The sequence below is a fragment of the Homo sapiens genome, chromosome 7 (genome assembly GCF_000001405.40).
Source record: "Homo sapiens chromosome 7, GRCh38.p14 Primary Assembly".
Lineage (NCBI taxonomy): Eukaryota > Metazoa > Chordata > Mammalia > Primates > Hominidae > Homo > Homo sapiens.
The window spans coordinates 284,387-308,507 of NC_000007.14; the positions used below are offsets into that span (position 1 = coordinate 284,387).

At 56.7% G+C, this 24,121-nt stretch overlaps 1 protein-coding gene and 1 long non-coding RNA gene across 2 annotated transcripts; both read left to right on the forward strand.

Moving 5' to 3' along the window:
* The first annotated feature begins 5,783 nt into the window (after positions 1-5,783).
* FOXL3 (forkhead box L3) lies at positions 5,784-7,102 on the forward strand. The gene is made up of 3 exons (NM_001374838.1): positions 5,784-5,890; positions 6,267-6,435; positions 6,677-7,102. Exons 1-3 carry the CDS (start codon positions 5,784-5,786, stop codon positions 7,100-7,102), a joined length of 702 nt encoding a protein of 233 aa, NP_001361767.1.
* FOXL3-OT1 (FOXL3 overlapping transcript 1) lies at positions 6,843-10,036 on the forward strand. The gene is made up of 2 exons (NR_164665.1): positions 6,843-7,297; positions 9,847-10,036. It is a non-coding gene; the product is annotated as an FOXL3 overlapping transcript 1 (long non-coding RNA).
* The last annotated feature ends 14,085 nt before the right edge of the window (positions 10,037-24,121 follow it).

Genomic DNA, 24,121 nt, shown 5'->3' on the forward strand with positions numbered 1-24,121 from the left:
CTGGTCTCGAACTCCTAACCTCAGGTGATCCGCCCGCCTCGGCCTCCCAAAGTGCTGGGATAACAGGCGTGAGCCACGGTGCCCGGCCAAATTTTCTAAAATAAAATAAAAAATCAGTTCCCAGAAAACAGTCCCTCACTTTGAATTGTGTGGTTTCAGCATTTCAGCTGATTACAGTCATACTTGCACATCTCAAAAATTCTCCAAAGAAACAAGTCTAATGCCAGCGATTTTTATAAATGTGTGCTCATGGCTGCCTTTGCTTCAGCAGGAGAGAAACCTCTCCAAGCTATTTCAATGATATTCCGCCCCTTGGAGATCAGTGCGACCACCACCACCCAGCCTGGCTCACCCAAGCCTTGAGTTTACTCTGCCTGCCTGAGTCGGAATTCGCCCTCCCTCCCTTCTGGGGCGAGCCGAGGGGATGCCAGCCATTGTGCTGCTTCCTGAATGCCTACCGTGGGCTACGCAGTGTTAGACACTTCATGTCGGAGTCAGACAACTCGGCTGAGACACCTAGTTAATAATTACACAGGTCTAATTAACCCACATAATTAGACCTGTCACAGAGATGAGGATGCTGAGGCTCGGGAGCACGGTGGGGTGGGGGTCGTCGTGGGCCACCTCGCGAGCACTCGGCGTTGTGTGGTCTCTGCGAGGCCCCTTTGCTCTGCACCCAGCTGGCCCTGGGGAGGAGCTCTGGAAGGGAAGGCGGGCAAGGCCCCGGGCTCCCTCTAGGGTGCTGGCTCCTTCAGAACCAGGGCATAGGCCAGCACACATCCTGGTTTTGCAGCCCGGTCCCAGCGTGGGGACAGAAAGGGGCAGGGACTCTCCTCACTCTTCTTTGGGCCAAAGCATGCTTAGTGGGGTCTCCAGGCAGGTCTGCAAATACCTCCCCGTGATGAAGCGGTCAGGGGAAATTCCTCCTGGACTTCGGCCTTATTTCATTTTCTTCCCCGCCCCTGGGGCTGTGGCTGGGATTTATTGTGTTTATTTTCCGATGTGTAGCTTTTATGATCTGGGGTCCGCTGAGCGGGGCTCGGACAGTACCCTAAGCTAGGTCGGGTCGCACTGCGCCACTCACTCTGCTCTGCTGACATGTGTGACCCAGGAGGAGTGCCCCGAGTCACAGGCGTGAAAAGCAATGATGCCACTCACCGTCTACAAGAGTCTCTTTCCCTGGGAGAGGATAAGGCCCCTCCCCTAAAAATTCTCAAAAGAAACAAGTCTAACGCTGGCAATTTTTATGAATGTGTACTCATGGCTCTTTCTTCAGCAGGAGAGAAACTTCCCCAGTTTATTTCACTGTGGTGGACGTGGTTGTTTTGGGGCACCCGGACTCTGTTCCCTCTTTCTCTAACAGATCCTTGACTCTTACATGGGGCCACCCCCTTCCCGCCTCAGTCCTCGGGGTCTGGGTAGTGCTGACCTCCCTTTCGGGCACCAGCCTGGCATTTCCAGGGAGAAGATCCTATCCTCCCGGCGGGAGTGACCGACCAGGGGGTGAGGGTGACTCTCCCAGGCCAGCAAGAGGTGAGAGGTGAGGGCACTTACTGGGCCGTCGGGAAAGGCGTTCTCAGCGGAAGGACCTGGTGTGAGATGCTGGTGGCAGGTGCAGGAGGCTCGCAGAAGGCTGGCCGGCCCCATTTCCAGGGCAGAGTTGATGTCATGCGGAGAGGTGAGGGCACTTGCTGGGCCGTCGGGAAAGGCGTTTTCAGCAGAAGGAGCTGGTGTGAGATGCTGGTGGCAGGTGCAGGAGGCTCGCAGGAGGTTTGCCGGCCCCATTTCCAGGGCAGAGTTAATGTCATGGGCTGTGCTCTTTCTTTAGCGGCTCTTGACACCAAAATGCAGGATTCTGTAGGGAATTTTTGAAGTCTGAGGCCTTGTAAACGCTGCGTTTTGCCTCTGATGTTAAAGCAGCAGCGACTGCGTGCCAAGGAGAACCTCGGGATGCTGATGTCCTCGTCTATGCTGGCTGCCAGGAGCACAGTCAATGCAGGGACGCAGAACGTGTTCCGATGCTGGCTAGGCTGGGCTGCAAAAGCGACATATGTCTCATTTCTCTGTTTCTCCCTGAGCCCGTCCACGCATCAGGCACGAGTGAGGCAGAAGCAGAAGATCCAGGCTCCTTCCTCGCTCTGAGGAGTTCCAGCAGAACCGATGGGAGAAGACCAGGCCGACCCAAGGTCCAGGTGGCTATGTGGCTGTCAGGTCGGAAGGGCAGCTCACAGGGTCAGAGGCTGGTGGGCGCTCAGATGAGCAAACCTCAAAGGCTTCTATTGTTTCCATTAAAACTATTTTTTTTTAAGAGATAGGGTTCTGCTCTGTCACCCAGGCTGGAGCGCAGGGTCACAATCATGGCTCACTGCAGCCTCGACCTCCTAGGCTCACCCCATTCTCCTGCCTCAGCCTCCCAAAAGTTGGGACTACAGGCATTTGCTACCATATGTGTCCCAGGCTTCTATTCTCAAAAAAATAAAATAAAAAATCAATTCCTAGAAAATAGTTCCTCACTTTGAATTATGTGGTTTCAGAATCTCCCTAGTAACTGTCTAGTTCAGAGAATGGCTAAAAAAATACTGAAGAAAGAGCAAGCACTCCAGCAAAGCAGACACTTTTCCTAAGTATTTTCCTAATATTCTTTTTAAAAATTGTGTCTGATGGCCAGGCGCGGTGGCTCACGCCTGTAATCCCAGCACTTTGGGAGGCCGAGGCAGGCAGATCACCAGGTCAGGAGATCGAGACCATCCCGGCTAACACGGTGAAACCCCATCTCTACTAAAAATACAAAAAATTAGCTGGGCGTGGTGGCGGGCGCCTGTAGTCCCAGCTACTCGGGAGGCTGAGGCAGGAGAATGGCGTGAACCTGGGAGGCAGAGCTTGCAGTGAGCTGAGATCGCGCCACTGCACTCCAGCCTGGGCGACAGAGCGAGACTCCATCTCAAAAAAAAAAAAAAAAAAAAATGTGTCTGATGTCTAAGGAAATTCAGCACTAATAAATTTGTAGTTAGAAATTGGCAGGTGATTATTCATATTATGAGGTTCCTGACATTACGTGCTCCCCAGATACATTTCATTATGTTTGATAAATGAATTCTGACACATTCAACAGTCCATAGACATCAGAAATCAAGTTTTTGAACCATATTCTATGACGGCAGTTTACAAACAGCACTGACACTCCAGAATTAGAAACACAAACACCACAGTGTGAGCAGCGGCCAGCTCGGAATCATGGAGTTCTAGGAGATGTTTTATACCTTCTTCTATTTTATAAGCTTTCTGCAACAAAAACTGCTTTTAATTAAAAATGTACAAGTAAGATATAACCTGGCCGGGTGCAGTGGCTCATGCCTGTAATCCCAGCACTTTGGGAGGCCAAGGCAGGTGGATTGCTTGAACTCAAGGGTTCAAGGATCAGCCTGGCCAACATGGTGAAACCCCGTGTCTACTAAAAATACAAAGATTAGCTGGGCATGGTGGTGGGCGCCTGTAGTCCCAGCTACTCCAGAGGCTGAGGCAGGAGAATAGCTTGAACTTGGGAGGCGGAGGCTGCAGTGAGCCGATATCGCGCCACTGCACTCCAGCCCAGGTGACAAGAGCGAAACTCCGTCTAAAAAAAAAAAAAAAAAAAAACAACAACAACAACACATAACCAGCATAACCAGATATCACAGAGATAACCCTGAAGTCCCCCATGTTCCCTACCAGTTTCATCCTCCTCTATCCCCTCTAGGCCAAATACAAACATAGATTTGATGTTTATCAAGATTACAATTTTATATTTTTGCCACGTAGATATGCATCAGAAACAACCTAAGTCACTGTTCTATTTTCGGGGTTGATTAATGGCGTCTTATTGCTCGTGTTGTCTAGAACTCACACATTTCGCTGGATGTGTCTGAGAGCCGCTGGATTTGTGAGATTCACTGCTGGTCTTTGAGAACGTCCCCAAAACAGGCTGCAGCTCCCGACTGGCTGATCGCCGGCTCTCTGTTTCCCTTGCGCGTGTGGGAATCAAGTGATTCTCCTGCCTCAGCCTCCTGAGTAGCTGGGACTACAGGCGCCCACCACCACGCCTGGCTATTTTTTTTTTGTATTTTTAGTAGAGATGGGGTTTCACCGTGTTAGCCAAGATGGTCTCGATCTCCTGACCTCGTGATCCACCTGCTTCGGCCTCCCAAAGTGCTGGGATTACAGGCGTGAGTCACCGTGCTGGCCGCGTTTTTAGTTTTGACATCCGATTAAGGGGACAATACGGAGTCACTGAAGTGTGTTTCAGCTTGAGTGTGACTCGGATCCCGAGCGAGGCCAGGCAGCCACAGTGCCCACTGCAGAAGGAGGAGTTGCATGTGCCCACCCCCACGTGCCAGGCTTCTCCTCCAAGGGGGACCCCAGGGGCGCTGAGCCCGCCTGCAGATGCGGTTTTACCAAGGGCAGCGACAGCTCCAGGCACCCCTGGGGCCAGCTGGGTGCAAGCAGCATGAGTCACCTCGTATTTTAACAACTTCATTCATTCATTTATTTTTTATAGAGACAGGGGTCTCACTCTGCTGCTGAGGCTGGTCTCTAACTCCTGGTTTCAAGTGATCCTCCCACATCGGGCTCCCAAAGCGCTGCGGTTTCAAGTATGAGCCCCCAGGCCCCGCTGTCTGGGTCGTTTCAGAGCTGAAGGTGCTGCTGTGAAGATGACATTTCCTGGTGAAGGCTGTATCTATCCCGGGCTTTCTGGCCTCAGGCCGACTCACAGACACGGCTGTCGGTCAGAATTCTGCAGATTATTCCTGGAAATACTATTCAGTCTCATGTCTACTGTGAAACAAAACCCCCTACTCCCGTAAGATCCCGCCTCTCTACTTTTCTCCAGAATTTCCTAACCCGGATGGCTTCTCTTCTCTTCCCTCTGCGTGCGCCTAAAACGGAGCTTCGACCCAGAGGGGACCCGTGAAGCGGCGACTCTGCGGATGGGAAGTCCCCCTCCCTCCGGGCCCTGGCGGGGACTCACTTCCAGGCACTGAGAGGCCGCTGGACGGGAGCACAGGGCGCTGCAGAAAGCGCTGGGACCTGGGTCTCTGGCTCAGCTGACCCCCTGACCAAGGCCGGGAGACGCCCGCCGGGCCCCACGGATTTGGCCTGGACCCCCCGGCCGCTCTGGGGTGGAGAGCGGCGGACAGTGCAGGTGGCGGAGGGGGCCACAGTCCTGGTCTTCGACGCCGGCTCCGGGCTGTGCTCTCTGCTGAGACCCAAGGGTCCTCCCGGGGATCCCGGCGCCCGGAAAGCACCACCGAGTCTCAGGCGCGCCCAGGGCGCACGGGACCGGGGCTCACGGCACCGGGGCGCTCCGAGGAGACTTCCGCCAGTGCAGGGAGCCTGCGAGGACACCCCAAGCTGCCTCCAGGGACGGGGACGGAGCGAGCCCTGCCCTGAGCGCCCCAGGAAGGGAGCCGGGTAGGGGGGGCCGCCCCGCCCGTCGGACCACCCAGCGCGCCGCCTCCTCCTCCCTCCCCCCGCGGCGGTCAGAGGGTCACCCAGACGCCCCACACCGCTCCCCTCGGCCGCTTTACCGGTGGCTGGGGCCTCCCCCGCGCCGGGATTGGATGCGAGAGGACGGGGTGGGGGCAGGCGGGGGACCCCAGGAGCCCAGGTTCCCGCTCCGGCGGAGAGAAGCCCGCAGTGCAGTCGTTGCTGGGCCGCGTAGAGAGGGCTCTGCGCGAAGCCGGCGGGCGGCGCGGAGGAGGCGGCAATTGCAGCCGGGACCCCCAGCAAGCGCCGAGCGCGCCAGGATGTTTGACAGCTCGCAGTATCCCTACAACTGCTTCAATTACGACGCCGACGACTACCCCGCCGGCAGCTCCGACGAAGACAAGAGGCTCACGCGGCCCGCGTACAGGTGACTGCGGGGGCGGTGCTGGGGCTTTGGGGGACAGTGACACCCCCTGCAAGGGTCCCAGGTAGCCGGGACCTGCCTGGGACGAAGGAAGGGCGGGGGAGCTTTCTTCTCTCCGGCGGCGGAGCTCAGAGAAAGGACGCATTTGTCCCTACTTTGGGGAGAGCCAGGGAGGGTTCTTGGCCTCGCGGGGAGGGGCCTCCGCAGGTCGGGAAAGAGCTTCTGGGGTCTGGGTGGCGCCGGGGACCGCGAGCTGCGGGGACACTTTCCCCAACACCGCCTCGCTCCTCCGCCTCTGCGCCCCACGGCGTCCTGCGGGATGGGGGGAAGGACGGGGGGCTGCCCGGTGGAGACCCCGCCTGACCCCCGGGCTCCGCAGCTACATCGCCTTGATCGCCATGGCCATTCAGCAGAGCCCCGCGGGGAGGGTGACCCTGTCCGGCATCTACGACTTCATCATGCGCAAATTCCCCTATTACCGCGCCAACCAGCGCGCCTGGCAGAACTCCATCCGCCACAACCTGTCCCTCAACAGCTGCTTCGTCAAGGTGAGCGCCGCCCCCGACGGGCCCCGGGTGTCCCAGCGTGGCGACACCTGCGCCAGGGCCTCGGTGGCGGGGAAGGGAGGGCACCGCGGCGGCTTCAGGGAGGTCCGTCCTCAGCCCACGGGGCCGCCTCCACCTGCGCAGTGCGCCACCCTCGCCCCGGTCCAGGGCGCCCCGAGGGGACAAGGCGGGCGGGCGCACCGTGCAGCGGAGCCGCTCCCAGCCCCTCCCTCCGCGCGCGCAGGTGCCGCGGTCCGAGGGCCACGAGAAGGGCAAAGGCAACTACTGGACGTTCGCGGGCGGCTGCGAGTCGCTGCTGGACCTCTTCGAGAACGGCAACTACCGGCGGCGGCGGCGGCGGCGCGGCCCCAAGCGCGAGGGGCCGAGGGGTCCGCGCGCGGGGGGCGCCCAGGGGCCGTCGGGTCCGTCCGAGCCGCCCGCCGCTCAGGGGCGCCTGGCCCCGGACAGCGCTGGCGAGGGCGCCCCGGGCCGTGAGCCCCCCGCCAGCCCCGCTCCCCCGGGGAAGGAGCACCCCCGGGACCTCAAGTTCAGCATCGACTACATCCTGTCCTCCCCAGACCCCTTCCCTGGGCTCAAGCCGCCCTGCCTCGCACAAGAGGGCAGATACCCGCGGCTGGAGAACGTGGGACTCCACTTTTGGACAATGTGATGTGGAGCCACCCTGGAGGCCCCTGCAGTTCAGTCTGGGGTCTTCCCCGGACCCTCCCTGGAAAGACGATTCCAGCCCCACCTTGAGCCAGGAAGCCAGGGTTCGGCAAATCCTACAATTTCTCCTGCAGACAGAAGGTCAGGTGCCACACCAGGCCTGGACTGGGGGGACAGGCGGAGGTGGAGCTCCTTAAAGGTATAGACTGTGAGGCTGTGACTTGACCTGTTGGGAAAACAGTTCTCTTGCAGGGAAAACCCCACTGGGTTCCGGTTTTACCTAAGGGTTTGCTCTGGACTGACCTAGTGCTCTTGCTCTGAGGGATAAACACAGGGTCATGTTCCCTGGAGCTGGGAGATATTTCATTCCTCAGTCACTTGAGGGCGAGTTTTCTAGGCAGCCACACCCCAATAAGCCACAAGTGCCCAGTGTGCGGTCAGTGGGCTGGTTCGCGTCGTCCCCATGGTTAAAATAATAGTGGTAAGGCACAAACCGTGAAGAGAGAGGGCAGTCAGCCCCACGAATTAGTCACCCCAAAGCTGATGATGGTGTCCGTGCTAGCGGTGACGTGCTCAGAAGTGACAAATGTATCTTGTTGTGTCAGCTGAGTATTTTGGTGACAGTTTAAGAAATCCATTGTGCTTTTTATACCAGAAGGGAGAAAGACAAGGTGGGAAGGAGGGGCCCAGATTTGGGATGATACTGGGGCAAAGTCCAAATTTCTTGATTCTTCAGAGCAGGGAGTAAGCCCTGATTCAGGCACCTTCCATCAACTGGATTCCCAAAAAATCAGGCCCCCAAGAGAGCAGGCTGTTGATAAAATTCCTGTGACACCTCTCAGTGCACGGTTACAAGTATCCGAGGTGGGTGCACTCCACTTGAAATGTAAAGGATTTAATTACTGTGTGGAGACGGGCATTCTAAAAACACAATTATGCACAGTGAAACTATTTGACCAGCCTCATCATTTTTCACCAGCTCATTTTTGCAGAGTTAATTGCTTTCAGTGACTTAATTTGAACATTAGTATGGATTACACCTAATCTGATTCACTCGGTGACAACGAGTGGCTAATTTTGTGAATGGCAAAAACACGCCCAAGGAGGCTGGCTGTCTCGTTTGGGAATCACATAGTCTTGCTCTATTGGACCCTTAAAAACAGGGGCTGGGCGGCCGTGAAGGCAGGCGGGCTGCAGAGACAGACCAGAACATGCAAAAGATGCTTGGCCCTAGCTTCGTCTCTATTCGGAAGAATCCAAGTATTCCCCCACTCACCTGCCCTGTAAATAGACTCGATGTGTTTGGTTCATTGTTTTGAGAAAAGGGAGGAAGCCGTTGCTGACAGACGCTGTGAACGCCTGGCCCGGTGGTGATGCACCCACTCCCTGGCCTCCGGGCCCGGACAACCGCAGCCTCTGCCTACAAGGGCACCCTTTGCCCAGGGAGAAGGAGTCGGAGTCCGGCCTCAAATGCCTGTTCCTGGAAGTGGAAATGAGGCTTGCAATGTGGACACCTTTCCTTTGCAAATATCAGCTTCTGGTTTCCAGAACTCTCTGCTGGGAGAGCAGCCACGTTCCTGGTGCTCCCGCCGCCCACCGGGTGTAGGATCCTAGGAGATGGGTGCTGCGGCTCTCACACCCGTTTCACAGATGGGAACCTGCATCACAGGCATGCAGCTCCGGGTTGGCTCCTCACCCCCTCCATGCTGGCTTGCACAGGCTACCAGCATGGTGTGTACACGTATGTGTGTGTGTCTGTGTGTATCATGGTGTGTGACCTGTGTCTGTCTGTACTCCTGTTATTTATATCCCTTTGCTGGTTGTGCTAAAAGCATAGATTTAAATCATACAAGATGTAATTTAGATGGTCATAAGAGGCAGATGCTCCCATACATAAGTATATGGCAAAGAAAGTATCTGAAGATATATTTTTCTGCTACCAACAGAGGAAATAAAATTTACATTTTGTCTTTTGAGTTCCTGCACTTTGCTCTGGTAAGCAAAGCCTGATTTGGAACAACAACAGCAAAACCCCTTTTCCTAAACACTCTTGGGGGCCTCAAAATAAGTCAAGGTCTTCATAGCTCATCCTCTCTGAGGATATATTTGCGGCCAAAAGTAGACTCGACGCCTGGGAGAGGCAAGGGCGGCACTGGGGGAAATCTGTGTACTATGAGGTGTAGCATTTGTTTTGCAAAGGATATCAATCATATTTTTAAAAGCAAAGGGACATTTTCAATTTGCCAGTGCATGACACCCTGCAACTTCAGAAAGGTTCCCAGCCCTTAGAGTGAATGGCATTTAATACCAGCAACAAAACAGGGTGAGGGCTGGCTGTGACCTATTCAAATGTCGCCGCCACCACGCACGCTTGCCCAACGCAATTATAATTAAATACTTTATGCCTTTCTTGCAAATCCACTGATTGATCATCGATATGTACATTACCCCCGAGCAGATGTCTGCCACACGTGGGTTACGGATCACCAGGCTTCCATTAACAAAGCTGGGAGGTGCTGCCGAGCGGACGTTTGGGGCGGCGTGTGCAAATGACTGTGCTTGGGACCAAAGTTCCCAGGCTGGGTGGCACCTGGGCCCTGAGCTCCGTTTCCCGAGACTTTAGGGCGCCCCTTCTCACAGAAGCTGGGCAGAGGCTCCTCTACCAAGTGTCGCAGGAATGAGGGGTCGGCCCCCGGTTGTTCCTGGAGGGTGGAGAATCCCAGCCACGTTTATCCCTCCCTCCCACAGATGGAAGCAGGACAGCGGCAGATTTGAGAGCAACCACCAGGTCCCTGAGTGCAAACTGACCACAGATGAGCCCCTCCTCCCCACTGCTGACTTGCTGGGTATAGCGGAGCAGCACCCCTCCAGAGAGCCCTCCTGGGCTGACACCTGCCCTTTGCACCCAGCTGAAATAAAACTCTTGGAATCTGCTGTCCATTGGCCCCTGGTCTGCCTCCTGGGGAAGAAGAGAAAAAAAGCCTCCTTCCTCTTCAAATTCCTTCGGTCCTTGATTGAGCAGGGTGGGGGCTGCTTGTTTATTCATTAGCAAACATTCGTGAGCCCTGAGCTAGGAGATGGGGCGCAACCATGAACCCAAGAGGCCCAGACTGCAGCCCCACAGCACACGCGTGAAGTAGACAGGCGGCTTCTGCGTGCTTGCAGAGCCCCGCGCCGGATGTGTCAGGAAGGGAGCGCACAGGGCGCTGAGCAGAGGATAACTGAGTGTGCAAAGTGCATGGCCAGGCCGGGCTCTCGGGAGCTGAGGCCGTGACGGTGAGCTGGAACAACGAGCCAGGAGGAAAGGGCATTCCGCGTAGGGGGCAGCCTGTGCCAAGCCCTGTGCTGGGAGCCAGAGGCCAGTGTGACCGGAGGGAGGTGCAGGCAGGGAGCTACGCCCGCCCGGCCCCCAAGTCCAGGCCAGACTGACTGTCTCTTCAGCCCTTGATATGCAGCTCCTGCATCTGCCTCCATTTGTCCCTGTTCCTTCTGATATGTCGAACTCCTGCACAGCCCAGAAGGATAATCACCTCCCATGGTCTGGGCGCTTGGCCTTGGTTAATGTGGCCTCAGCATACACCACACACTACTCTTGCTCCTGTCCCCAAGTGTTTCTTCCTGGCCAGTTCCTTCCTGTGCTCATGGAAGGTGAGGATGGTGTGCAGAGGGTGGGGGTCTCCATGAGCCCCTCCTCAGTGTCGCCCAGCCAGGACAGCTGCCCTGGAGGTCTGCAGTGGCACTGGTTTTCCTGGGAGAGAGGGGCACCAGGCGGGAGTCGTGCCACTGTGTGTCCTCGGCAGGGTCCTCTGCCCACTGGAGTCTGAGGCTCCTTGCCCGTGGCACAGGCTGTGCACAGCACCATCCAGGGCTCAGGCGAGAGGCTCTCAGCTGGACTCATGGGCCCTGGCCCAGCTCTGCTCCCACCTCACGCCCCAGTGCATCTGCCTGGCCCTGGGACCCAGAAAAGGAAGGGGCCAGCTCCCTGGGGTATAAAGGCCTGAGCTGGGCGTCCCCGTGGAAACTGGCTCCCCGCAGTCCCCAGGCCACGGCGGCTTTCTGGGCACCTCCCTTCCCGGAAGCAGCCCCCGGACTCCCTGCCTCTTTCCCTGGGACACCGTGGTCTGCCCATGGGCACTGTCAGCTTCCTCATGGCCCCCTCCCATCTGACTGGCAGGCCAGGGGACAAGGACTTCCTCAGGATGGCACCTGGGCTGTGAGGGGCCAGAGGACATGGCCCCTGGTGGGCTGGGACTGGCACCAGGACACAGCTGGGTGTTTCCCACCTGGATTCTTCTGAGAGGCCTACACTGGCCTCCGCGCGGGGGTCTGGCGGCCCTCCCCTCTCTATCTTGGTTTCCTCTGTGGTTCTGCCTGGGTTTGGGGATCAGGGGTGCCACCACTCCCATCACCCCAGGCTGTGACAGGGCTGGGCTCCTGAAACTGCTCGGTTCTAACTTTCCGGCCCCCGCCCTGCCCCAGGGCCAGCCAAGTTCCTCTCCATGCTGAGGGCCCTGGAGTCTCTCCGTGTACACATTCCAGAGGAGGAACCCAAACAGGCTGTTTCTCACCAAAATATGAAACTGAAAACAAGCACAGGGCCTGCCGGAGGCTGCCTGCGGCCTGGGGACTCAGGGTCCGACTTTGCCCCCTCCCGGCACTGCCTCACCACCCCTACACTCCCCAGCCTCCCCTTGGCCCCACCAGGCCCCACCTTGCACCCCCGCCTCCCTCCCCCAGGTCCTGCCCAGCCCCTCCTGGTGCCCTCAGCCCTGCCTGGTCCTCCTGGCACCTCCTGGTCCTCCTGGGTCTTTTCTGCCTCCTAGCCCCTCCCATTCTCCCCCCAGCCCCTCTCTACCCCCAATTCTTACTGGCCCTGTGGCACCCCCAGGTCCCCAGGCCCCTTCTGGACCCCCAGCCCTTCCAGCCTTCCCCCCGACCCTTGAACTCCCCCAACTCTCCTGGCTCCCCATGCCCCTCCTGGCCCTGCCTGGTCCCTCTTGCCCCCCCCCACCCCGCCCCTCCATCCTCCCCGAGCACAGCTGGCCCCCAGCTGCCAGGAGTCTGGGGGCCACCGGCGGCTTCATCAGACACAGGAGACTGTGCTTTGCACTCAGGCCAGTGCACCTGAAATAGCTGCACGTGTCCAGTGCCTCAGGCCACCCCTGGGGCTAGACTGAGGGTCTCACTGACAAAACTCCACTAAAGATGGGGCTCAGGGGAGCAAGGTTTTGAGGGTCTTTGGTCAGGCTGAGGTCCCACAGTAAGTGTCTACTGAGAATGCCTGCCCCAGCATTGATGACGGGACGCAGGGCTGCGGGGTGGCGGGAGGAGGTGCTGGGAGGCACTGGACGCGTGGATGACGGGACGTGGGGCTGCGGGGTGGCGGGAGGAGAAGCTGGGAGGGAGTGGACTCGTGGATGATGGGACGTGGGGCTGCGGGGTGGCGGGAGGAGGTACTGGGAGGGAGTGGACGCGTGGACGATGGGACGCGGGGCTGAGGGGTGGCAGGAGGAGAAGCTGGGAGGGAGTGGACACGTGGATGATGGGACGTGGGGCTGCGGGGTGGTGGGAGGAGGTGCTGGGAGGGAGTGGACGCGTGGACGATGGGACGCGGGGCTGAGGGGTGGCAGGAGGAGAAGCTGGGAGGGAGTGGACACGTGGATGATGGGACGTGGGGCTGCGGGGTGGCGGGAGGAGAAGCTGGGAGGGAGTGGACACGTGGAAGACGGGACGTGGGGCTGCGGGGTGGTGGGAGGAGGTGCTGGGAGGGAGTGGACACGTGGACGATGGGACGCGGGGCTGAGGGGTGGCGGGAGGAGGTGCTGGGAGGCACTGGACGCGTGGAAGACGGGACGTGGGGCTGCGGGGTGGTGGGAGGAGGTGCTGGGAGGGAGTGGACACGTGGATGATGGGACGCAGGGCTGAGGGGTGGCGGGAGGAGGTGCTGGGAGGGAGTGGATGGAGCACATTCAATCTTGAGAATTCCTACGTGTGGGTCACTTCCTCTCCTGCACACGGTGGGCGCCCTGCACACAGATGATGAGTAAATTCACAGGGTCCCAAGAAAGAAGCTTCTGTGAGGGGAAGAGATAGATGGGGAGGTCGTGTCATTCATGACTGTGCCATATCCCAGCAAGCCCAGGCCCAGTGTCCCGGGGTCAGCCCAGGAGGACATCCTAATCCTGGTAGAAAGAAGGGCTGGCGTTTGCCGAGGGCTCTCCATGTGCTGGGCATGGTTCTGAAAACACTCAGAACACTCACCCCCCAGGACCCCACGGAGCCAGCAACACGACACCACCCAGGGCACGCGTGAGGCTTGGAGAGGGTCACGTGCCTGGCCAGTGTGCGGAGGGGTCTGAGCTCAGGGGTCAGCAAATTGTCTGAAGGGACCCACAGGGTCAGTGCCAGGGCCCTGAGAGTGGCCGACAGCATTTGGAGGAGGGGAGACAGGTCCTCCAAGCACAGGTGCAGGTCCAAGGGCCCAGTGTCTCCACACACCCAAGCCTCTGGGGCTGTGCCGCTGCCTCGCAGGGCCCCCAGCTCTCCCCACCGAAAGGGGACGATGTAATGACAGTCCAAGAGAGAATGGAGGTGCGGTCCCCTGCAGTGTGAAGCTCGGGGCTGTAGGCGGTGGGCCCCTTGGCAAGATGCTAGGGGCCGCCACTCTCATCTCCTCAGAGGTGTGGACCCCACTCCAGCAGGTGCAGAGGGAACCCCAGTCCAAGCTGAAATGTAAAGGAGCTCGGTTCTCGTGGCTCTGCTCTCCCGCAGGGGTCCCGCCCTCCTCCAAGCCCCAACAGCCCTGTGAGCAGAGCACGGGGCAGACTCCACAGCTCCACGGTACAGAGGAGGAAAGTGAGGCTCAGAGGGGCCTCTCAGAGCCTGCTGGTGCAGAGGCTGGACTCGCCTGATCCCAGGAGCCCAGGATGCCCAGCCGAGGGCAGAATGACATCCTCTAACCTGGAAGTTAACGGGCACAGCCTCAAGGCCTCCTCCATCCCCTAGCTGTGGTTCTGTTCGACTCCTGAGCGAGCGTCAGAGACGGTGGGAACATTCCGGATCCCAGGGGTCCCACATCGGGGTGTGGCCGTCTCCCCACGCACAGCCTAACCTCCCCCGGCTCTGGAACGTGGCTGGGCAGGACTCACTGCTGCGAGGTAGCCCTGCTTCTGGGGGACACCAACCGTGCTCACCCCTCCCACTTCCACCAAGAGGGGCCTGATGTTCCACGCTTGTCATAATTACATGAGAGACCCAGGAAAGGGGAAGTGCACACAACCTATTACCTGTAATTTGATTTTGCTCTTCAGCCAAATTAACAATCTATAAACATTTGCAAAATTACATGTTTTCATCCTGTGAGAAATACCAAGTGCCTCTTATGCAAATGTGCCCGGTCCTCGTGCTCGGCCGTTCTGGAGAACGGCTCCTCAGAACCCAGCGCGGGGCTTGTCAAGCCAGGCTGTTCACCGTGGATTGCAAATTAACGGGCCTCACATGCTTGTCTACAATTACATTCCCACCAGCTTTAGGCAACTGTAGACCCAGATTCCAAATAAGATGTGAGTTCACTCAACTGAAACTTGCAGTATTAGATTTATAATAAACGAAGAGAGGTCACGCGGCGATGCCATTTTTTAAAAGAAAAGGAAATTGAATGACACCACCCGAACCTGGCTCAACTTCCCCTGTGTGTTGGTGTGACTTCAGCATACACCACACACTCCCACTCCACATGGGCCTGCACTGGTCCCTGGTGGACTCTGTGTCGAACGAGTCACGTTCAGCTTCCCCTGCACTGTGTGGAGCGAGACAACAGAAGAGTACAGAGCCTTCGCCAGCCAATGGAGGCACCACAGCTGGCAGCCACACCTGATGCCCGCCCGCTGCACCCTCCCAGTCACCTGCCCCGAGCCAGGGCCAAGGGGGCCTTTAGGTGCCTGCACCGACCGCTTCCAGCATCCACACTGCTCGCCATGGAAACCCGTCCCGTCCTTTGGGACCGCCTAACAGGTCCTTCTGTGCCCCCAGCAAGCCTATGTCCAGAAACCCACCCACGATTGCTAATTCTCACCCAGGGACACCACCTCTGGATCCTTCACATGGACTCAGCTCCTGCAAAGTGAGGTCAGGTAGCAAAAGAACCACCGCATTATTTGTTCCCGAGTTTGGGGTAGGAAGAAGAGAGGGTTTGGACCAGGCCTCTCTTAAGACAGTTACCTGAAGCAATTTGGTTCCAGAGAGCAAGAAAAATCTGCCCACTCGTGCAGTTCATTGTTTAACGTCGTTAACAGATGTGATGCTTCTCCACAGGTTAGCCTGGTGGAGTCACAGGCCCTGTCTGTGCAACGCCGCTCCGTCCTGGGGCTGCATGGGGTGCTGGACAAACAGCAATGGACATGGGCAGAGCGATGCCTGCAAGGGCCCTGCCCCGTGAGGGCACCCCGTCCCATTCAGAGGCTCCTCACGATCTCTCGATAGGTGCTTTTGGCCACCAGTAACAGAAATCCTGGGTGACGACGGTGTCAACAAATACAGGACGAAGTCTGGGGCAGGGCATAAGGCTCCTCCCTGGGGCAGTTTAATGTGTGAACCCAGCAGGAGGGATGAGGGCAGCCCCGGCCACAGATTCTGGGCCTCGTCCACACAGGGAAGGCCAACTGCTTTAGCCAGAGAAAGACAACACATGAGGAAAGGCAGGTGCATTTGGGGGAGAGGAAGAGGGGAGACGGGTTGCCCCCCTCAAAGACACTGCGTCCAGGCGGAGGGCTCCAACAAGGCAGGGCCTCGAGAAAGTTCTGCGAACCGTTTCACCCACAGCCTCCTTTGTTTCTAGCACCCAGGGAAGGTGCATTCAGGCTGCAGAAGTCAGCAGGCTGCAGGCTGGTGAGCCTGTTGATGGGAAGTTCTGGTGTTGAAAGTGTGTCTTGTGTATCATTCACCGCGAGGTTCTGCAGAGGAGGAGGACTTTTCTTTGGGGACTCCGAACAGCCACCACCTTATCACCCAGGGAGGCTGCAGGGCAGAGAACACTCTCCTCTGACAAGTGGGGAAACTGAGGCTTGAGAGGGACCACAGGTTTAAAGCAGCCAAACCCAGGAATAAATCCAGCCCTTCAGATTCCCATCCCAGGCTTGTTTCCAGACAGAGGAGGGAGAAATGGTTTATTTCATCCAGTTCTCCCACTTGTCCCCAGGACCAGCAGGTCCCCTCTCTGGCGTCCTGAAGCCTCCTTGCGTCTGTGGCTGACCAAGTGCAGATGTGCCTGGCTGTCTAGTGGGCCTGGCTTCATAGGCCTGAGATGCAAAGACAGAACATCACATGGACATGCACACACACACACATGAACACACACACATGTACATAGACATATGTGCACACACACACATGCACACCAACATAGGCACACACGTGAACATGCACACATGTACACAGACATATCAACATACACACATGCACCTGCATGCACACCAACATAGTCACATACATACGTGAACATGCATGCACATACACAGGCATATCCACATACACACATGCACATGTGTGCACACCAACATAGGCACACACACGTGTGAGCACACAAACACGTACATAGACATATATGCACCTACACACATGCACATCAACTAGGCACATGCACACGTGAGCATGCATGCACACACACGCCCGTATGCACAAGCACGCACACATATAGCCACACACATGTGCATGCACAGCGCACAGCGTGTGAAATGCCCACGGCTATGCTTGGGCAGAGTGAGAATGTTCCTCTCTCTGTCTACAGGCTGGGAGAGAGAATGGGTCCTGCTGAGCTGAGGCTGCTGGCTCCGTCTGACCCGCCACGGTCACGCTTCCACGCCCTCACGCTTGGTTTCCTCCCTCTGCAATGCCTTTTTCATCTTTGTAGCCTCGTAAAAACCCACTTGGCTTTCAAGGCCCTGGTGCAAAATGTCCTCCTCTGCTCAGCCCCCAGGTAGAGCAGAGCTGTTTGGGTGCACGCTCCCAGGCCGGGAAGTGAGGAGGCATCTCATATTTAATGGGGACATCTCATCTCCTCCCCGTGTTACAGACGAGGAAACTGAGGCACAGAGACCTGCCTAGGGCCGTGTGATTTGAGGTGGGGTAAGGATTTGCACAAGTCATGCTGGTTCCAGGGTCCCTGCCGCCGCCCACCCGAGGGAGGCGGGAGGTCCTCACGCTGGTGCCCCCAGCTGACCTCCCGAAGCTCCTGTACCTCCCGGCTTCCCGGCCTGCCGCTGACCCCACACACAGTAGGTGCTGCGACGTGTTTCTTGGGCATGCTCCTGCCTACCGTAAAGCCTGGGCTCGCAGAGCAGGCACGTAGGTGGCTCGGCCGTCCCAAACACAGAGACGAGGAGCCACATGTGTCTGGAGTTTCTGAAAAGCTGGGAACAATTTTTCTCACTGTTTTCTGTTTAGATGAACTGATTCGGCCAGATGTGGGCCAGGAAAACCCTGTTTCAAGGTGTCTCCCTCAACACAGAGGAAGCCGGCAGCTCGGTCCCAGAAACCTCAGGCTTCCCTGCTCGCAAGGGGCCCACGCCTCTCCTCCGTGGCGAGTGGTCTAGGCCCGGGTGGATGGGGGGACCCTAAGCTGTGCTGGGTCTGGCCTGAGGACCCTGGGATCCCCAAGGGTGTCTGCCCAGCTGGGGCTGGGAGACACACTCTCCCTGCCTGTGACTTCTGGGGCCTGCCTGGGCCCCACCTTCCCTGAGTCAGGACCAGTGCGCTGGGGAGTCTGCTATCCTGGGCCTGAGCTGGAGGACCCCATGGGCCTCCAGAAGCAACAGCCCTCCCAGGCTCAGTGCTCAGCGCCCGGCAGCATTTTCAGCGTTCACAGCAGCTCCGTGAAAGGTTGGATCGGTTGATTTGATCCCTTTCTGTAGAGGAGGAGACTGAGGCCTAGAGAGGAGGGACTCCTGCAGCAGACAGGCTCTGGGACCCCCCAACAGCCATCCATCCCAGGGCCAGGTGTGGCCTCCTGTCAGCCGTGAACCAGGCACAGCGGGGCTAGGAGCCACTTTCTCTCCACACTGGTTTGCTTCAACAGGGCTAAGGGAGGTTTTCACTTTGGTCCTGTCATGCCTGGGCCATGGGGGCCTCTTCCTGGGAGCATGAGGACAGGGAGGGTCCCGTCTGTAACCGGCCATTTAGAGTCACCTTTGATGGGGTTTCCTCTGGGGAGCAGCCCCTTGTCCCCTGCCTGCTGGTTAGGGTGGGGGTGACCTCCCTCATCCTTTTTTGTTTTTTTTTTTTGAGACAAGGTTTGGCTCCATCGCCCAGGCTGGAATGCAATGGTGCGATCTTGGCTCACTTCCACCTCCACCTCCCAGGCTCAAGCAATCCTCCCACCTCAGCCTCCCCGGAAGCTGGGATGACAGGTGCGCACCACCACGCCTGGCTAATTTTTATATTTTTTATAGAGATGGGGTTTCACTTTGTTGCCCAGGCTGGTCTTGAACTCCTGAGCTCAAGTGATCTGCCCTCCTCGGCCTCCCAAAGTGCTGGGATTACAGGCGTGAGCCACCACACCCGGCCCACCATTGCCTTTGAGTGGGTCCCTGACCCAGGCCTCACCACCTGACCCCTTCCCATCGGCTGCAGAGATTGAGGTGGAGGCATCACGTGACCCAAAAGCAAGGAATGGACCCCAGCCCTGGGCTTCTACTGGAATGGATGGGGAGGGAGCGTTCACACAGTGGAATGTGGTCTGGGCCTGTAGGTGCCACCTGCGGCCGCCCAGGGAAAGCCTGTGGGAAGATGGACTGCACAGCGGAATGCAGAGCCAAAGGGCGGGAGAGGCCGGTCCCTGAGGGCTTGTTTCCAGCACCAGGCTTAAAGCCCAGTGTTGCCTTCCAGTCACCTAAGACAATCATTCTCCACTGGGCTCAGGGCGGTTTGGGTAGAGTCAGACAGATGCAATGGAAAGTATCCTGATTTATACAAAAGCAATTCAGTATTTGCTTAATAATGGGGGATAAGTACTTTGATCCAAGAAACATATCCCTAAAGGTGGAATCGTGACGGACAAGATGGGCACAGCAGCCTCAGGGCCCCAGGGTAAGTGTGGCTACCAGCCGTTACGTGAGAACTGCCTGGGAGATCGGACGCAAATGCAGGTTCTCCCTCAAGTTCTGAGCGGCTGCAGCTGAGGCGGGGCTGGAATCTGCTTTCCCAGAAGCTGCTGAGGCCCAGGAGAGCGTGGGAGCTGTGGTCCTGGCCTCTCCGCTGCTGGGGACAGTTGTGAGGGGCTGGAATCTGCATCCCCAGAAGCTGCTGAGGCCCAGGAGAGTGTCGGAGCTGTGGTCCTGGCCTCTCTGCTGCTGGGGACAGTTGAAGTGGGGCTGGAATCTGCATCCCCAGAAGCTGCTGAGGCCCAGGAGAGCGTGGGAGCTGTGGTCCTGGCCTCTCCGCTGCTGGGGACAGTTGAGGTGGGGCTGGAATCTGCATCCCCAGAAGCTGCTGAGGCCCAGGAGAGCGTGGGAGCTGTGGTCCTGGCCTCTCTGCTGCTCAGGACAGTTGTGAGGGGCGTGCCCTTTGGGTGGTCAGGACCCAGGGCTGGGGGCTTGGTTAGCGAGGGGACAGCTCTGCAAAGACCTTTGGGAAGAAGAGGGGACGGCAGAGGCACTGACCACCTCACCGTTTGTTCCCTGCTATCCCGTCGGTCCCCGTCCAGGGCTGGGCTCAGCCTAGGGCCCCTACACAACGCTCGTGACTCTCAGGGTCCCCAGTGCACTGAGCCCCAGGTGCCCGGGCCACAACCTGCCCTTTAACCTGCACTTGCTGCCCTCCCGCCCCTGTCTCCATTCCCCACCATCTCCTGGAACCCAAAACACACTGCCCCACATCTGTCTGTGGAACTTCCTGGATCACCTGGCCCGGCCACCTTCATCCAGGTGTGAGTTGAAGTCCCGTCCTGCACAGGCACCCTGGGGTGAAGGGGGCGCTGGGGTGTCTGTTCCATTGCTTCTGCCATCCGCGTATTCCGTGTGCGAGTGAGCATCGGGTGTGTGCCCACGTGTGCACGTCTGCTGGGTGTGCCAGTGTGTCTTTGAGTGGGAGTGAGTCTGTGTCCTTGGATGAGTGTGCACGAGTGTGCATGAGTGAGGGTGAGTGTGCATGTGAGTGTGATGTGTGCAGTGTACATGTGAGTGAGCGTGAGTGTGTATTGAGTGTGCATGAGTGTGCATATGAGTGAGCATGCATGTGTATGTGAGTGAGCGTGCATGTGTGCATGACTGTGCATGAGTGTGTGTGCAGTGTGCATGTGAGTGAGCGTGAGTGTGTATTGAGTGTGCATGACTGTGCATGTGAGTGAGCGTGTGTATTGAGTGTGCATGACTGTGTATGTGAGTGAGCGTGCATGTGTGTATGACTGTGCATGAGTGTGCATATGAGTGTGTGTGCAGTGTACATGTGAGTGAGCGTGCACGTGTGTATGACTGTGCATGACTGCATGTGTGTGTGCAGTGTGCATGTGAGTGAGCGTGCATGTGTGTATGACTGTGCATGAGTGTGCATGAGTGTGTGTGTGCAGTGTGCATGTCAGTCAGCACACGTGCTTGTGCCAAGTGAGTCTGCCCATTAGAGTGTGCACACAAGTGTGTGGTGTGGGTTTCTGTGCACTCGTAGGGTGGGGCTGTGACGGGGCAGCTGTGGGAGGCTGCAGACATGTGAGGGGGTCTCTGGGAACCCACACCCCTGTCTGTCAGCTGAACAGTCTCACGGCCCCGCAACTGCTCACATCAACACAAACTTGGCAGCCACTGTCTTTTTCAACGCTGTTTGTACAGAGAAAGGGGTGCACAGAGCCGTGGACCTGCAGCTCCTGGAGCTTCCCGGAGCTGGTCCTCCAGTAGAGGTGCTGGGGATGGGGGGACGCAGCCACGGCCTTCATGCACCAACCTGGGGTCTCCACGAGCAAACTCTGTGTTCAAGGAGGCACTCGGCCTGGGGACGCGGTGGGAAGAGCTATCGGAGGAGCCCCTCGGAGCTGCCTCAGCACAGCTGATGAAAGCAATCAGCGCCCGCCTGAGCTGGATGTAAAGGTTAATACATAAATCAAAGGGAAATGTCAGGTGCCTTTTAACACTGATTGAGATGTAATTGGGCAGGGACCGTGCGCCAGGCACCCGCGCTCACGGAACCACGGCAGGACGTGGAAGAAATTATGTGGCTTGTTTGTGTGTCTGCAATCGCGTCAAGACCGATGGTCCCTCGGCTCTGGACAGACGCCCCCCCAGCCAGCTGAGGATGCGAATATTCATGGCCTGGTGCCGGGTCCGGGGCTGGCTGGTGTTGCTGGGCACTGAGGATGTGCCACGTACATGGAGTCCAGACCATGAGAGCTTTTCAGATGTCCCCAAGAAGCCACCTCATCTGCAGTCATCCCTGGGGTCACGGGGCCGACTCGGGGCAGAGTGACCTGCAGTCATCCCTGGGGTCACGGGGCCGACTTGGGGCAGAGTGACCCAACCCCTTGCAGGCGCGGACCTCCCGCACACCCTGTGTCCTGCGCCCTCCAGCCCGGGCCTCTGCCCTCTCTGTCCCGGCCCTGGGCACCCTCTGGCCAGGTGGCTCCCAGCCCCAGGGAGGGGCTCCAAACAGAGCTAAGTTCCTGCCCAGGGCAGCCTTGCTGCTTCCTACGGCCGGAATCCCAGCCCAGGGTCTCAGGCGTCGGGACGCAGGGGGCTCCAAGCTTCACATGTGTGAGGGCTGCAGACAAGGACGCTTTATGAGATGAGATTGCACGCAGACATGTGTGTGAGAGAGAAATGTGTCAAATTACTCAAAGTAAACATTAAAAATTTTAAATAACAATTTAAAAAGGTATAGTTATGTTTGGCCAGTCCTCCCATTTTTGAAAATAATCCCTTCTCCCGCCTTTTTTTTTTTTTTTTTTAAGACAAGGTCTCACTTCATTGCCCGGGCTGGAGTACGTACAGTGGCGTGATCACCGCTCACTGCAGCGTCAACCTCCTGGACTCAGGTGATCCTCCCACCTCAGCCTCCCAAGTAGGTGCCACCACGCCCAGCTAATTTTGTGTGCGGGTGTATACACACTATATATCTAATATTTATCATATATTAGAGACGGGGTTTTCCTATGTTGCCCAGGCTGTTCTCAAATCCCTGGGCTCAAGTGATCCACCCACCTTGGCCTCACAAAGTGCTGAGATTACAAGCCACCATGCCCAGCCAGTTCTTTATTTTTTTAACATTCCTGTGACGGCAGTAGATACAAGTGGCCTTGTTCCCTCTCTGCCTGGAGAGACCCTGACCACACTCCCCCACCCAGAACTGGGCACCCTCAGCTCCCCCACCCAGAACCGGGCACCCTCAGCTCCCCCAGCCAAGCCTGCTTTCCTCGCTGCTTCTCTGTCAGCCTCCGGAGCTGCTCTCTGCCTTGTTCTTCGTCTGCTAAAAAACAAAATGTTAGCTCCTGTGCTTAGGGAGGGCATCTTTCCCCCTCTCAGCTCAGCTAACCCCTATTTGTGCCCCGAGATGCAGCTCCCAGGCTGCCTCCTCCAGGAAGTCTTTCCTGACTGCCCCTCCTCTCCAGGTGGGGTTGGAGACACCTGCCCCAGTATTTCTGACTTCCAAGCACCAATTTCCGTCTATTTTGATCACAGCACCTCCTAGAAGGGCCCTGATGTTCATGAGGAAGGATTCCAATCTTCCCTTTATTCCTTTTGGTGCAGAGCCCACCAGGCACCGGGACCCTGCCTGCCTGGCCTCCACCTCACCTGCCATGTGGACCCTGATCTGTCACCAATGGCTTGAAACTTCAGAGACTCAGATTGTGCTTCACCCAAAAGCAACACTGATGATGACAATGGCTTGCACTGTATGGAGCTAACCACGTGTGGACGCTGCTTTACTTTACCTATATTTACTCATTTAATCATCACAGCAACCCTCTATGATAGGCACCACATCATCCCATTTTACAGATGAGAAAACCAAGGCACAGAAAAGTTAAGTTACTTGCTTGAGGTCACATAGCCAGCAAAGTGGTGAGGCGAGCATTTGAACACAGGCAGCCTGGGTCCAGGGTCCACACTTTTAGGCTTTTCTTCCCACAGGGTGGCAGATTTAATTTTTAAAAAAGATACCAGTACCATGTGAAAAGCCTTGGCTGAGGCCGAGCAGCTCAGCGAAGTTACTGCTGACACAGGTAATCAGAAAGGCTCATCCAAGGTCAAGAATGTTAGACAGAAATATGGAAATGCAGCCAGGGAAACCAGGACGGTAAACTTTGGGATAAATGCAGGTGTATATTAATTGTACAAAGCAACAATTATTAGGTCTTGTGGAGTTAAAATATGCAAAGAAATAAAATGCAAGAAGACCACAATGCAAAATGAGGAGGGTGTAGAATTCAAAGCTTCTAAGATTATAGCAACATAAATACAGCTGTTATTAGTAATGGTAATAATTGGATTAGACCATAATAAGTCAAGAATACATTTTATAATTGCTAGGGCAAACCTTATAAAAGAGGTAGTAAAATAATATACAACTCACAAATAATGGAAGAAAAATGTTAACCCATTCAAAGAAAGTTAAGAAAGGAAGAAAAAAGGAAACAAAAAACTAATGGACAAAAAAGAAAACAAAACAGTAAGAGGGTAGATCTAAATCCCATTAAATGTAAATGGATAAAAAACCCACTGATGGTCAGACTAGATCAAGAAAAAATCAACTGTATGTTGCTTACAGGAGACACATTTTAACTGTAAGGACACAGAAAGGTTAAAAGTAAAAAAACTATATAGCACGAGGACACTAACCAACAGAAGGTTGGTGTAGCTATATTAACAGACGAAACAGACACTAGTGCAGTGGCTCACGCCTGTAATCCCAGCACTTTGGGAGGCTGAGATGGGTGGATCACCTGAAGTCAGGAGTTCAACACCAGCCTGGCCAAATACTGAAACCCTGTCTCTACTAAAAACACAAAAATCAGCTGGGCATAGTGGTGGGCACCTGTAATCCTAGC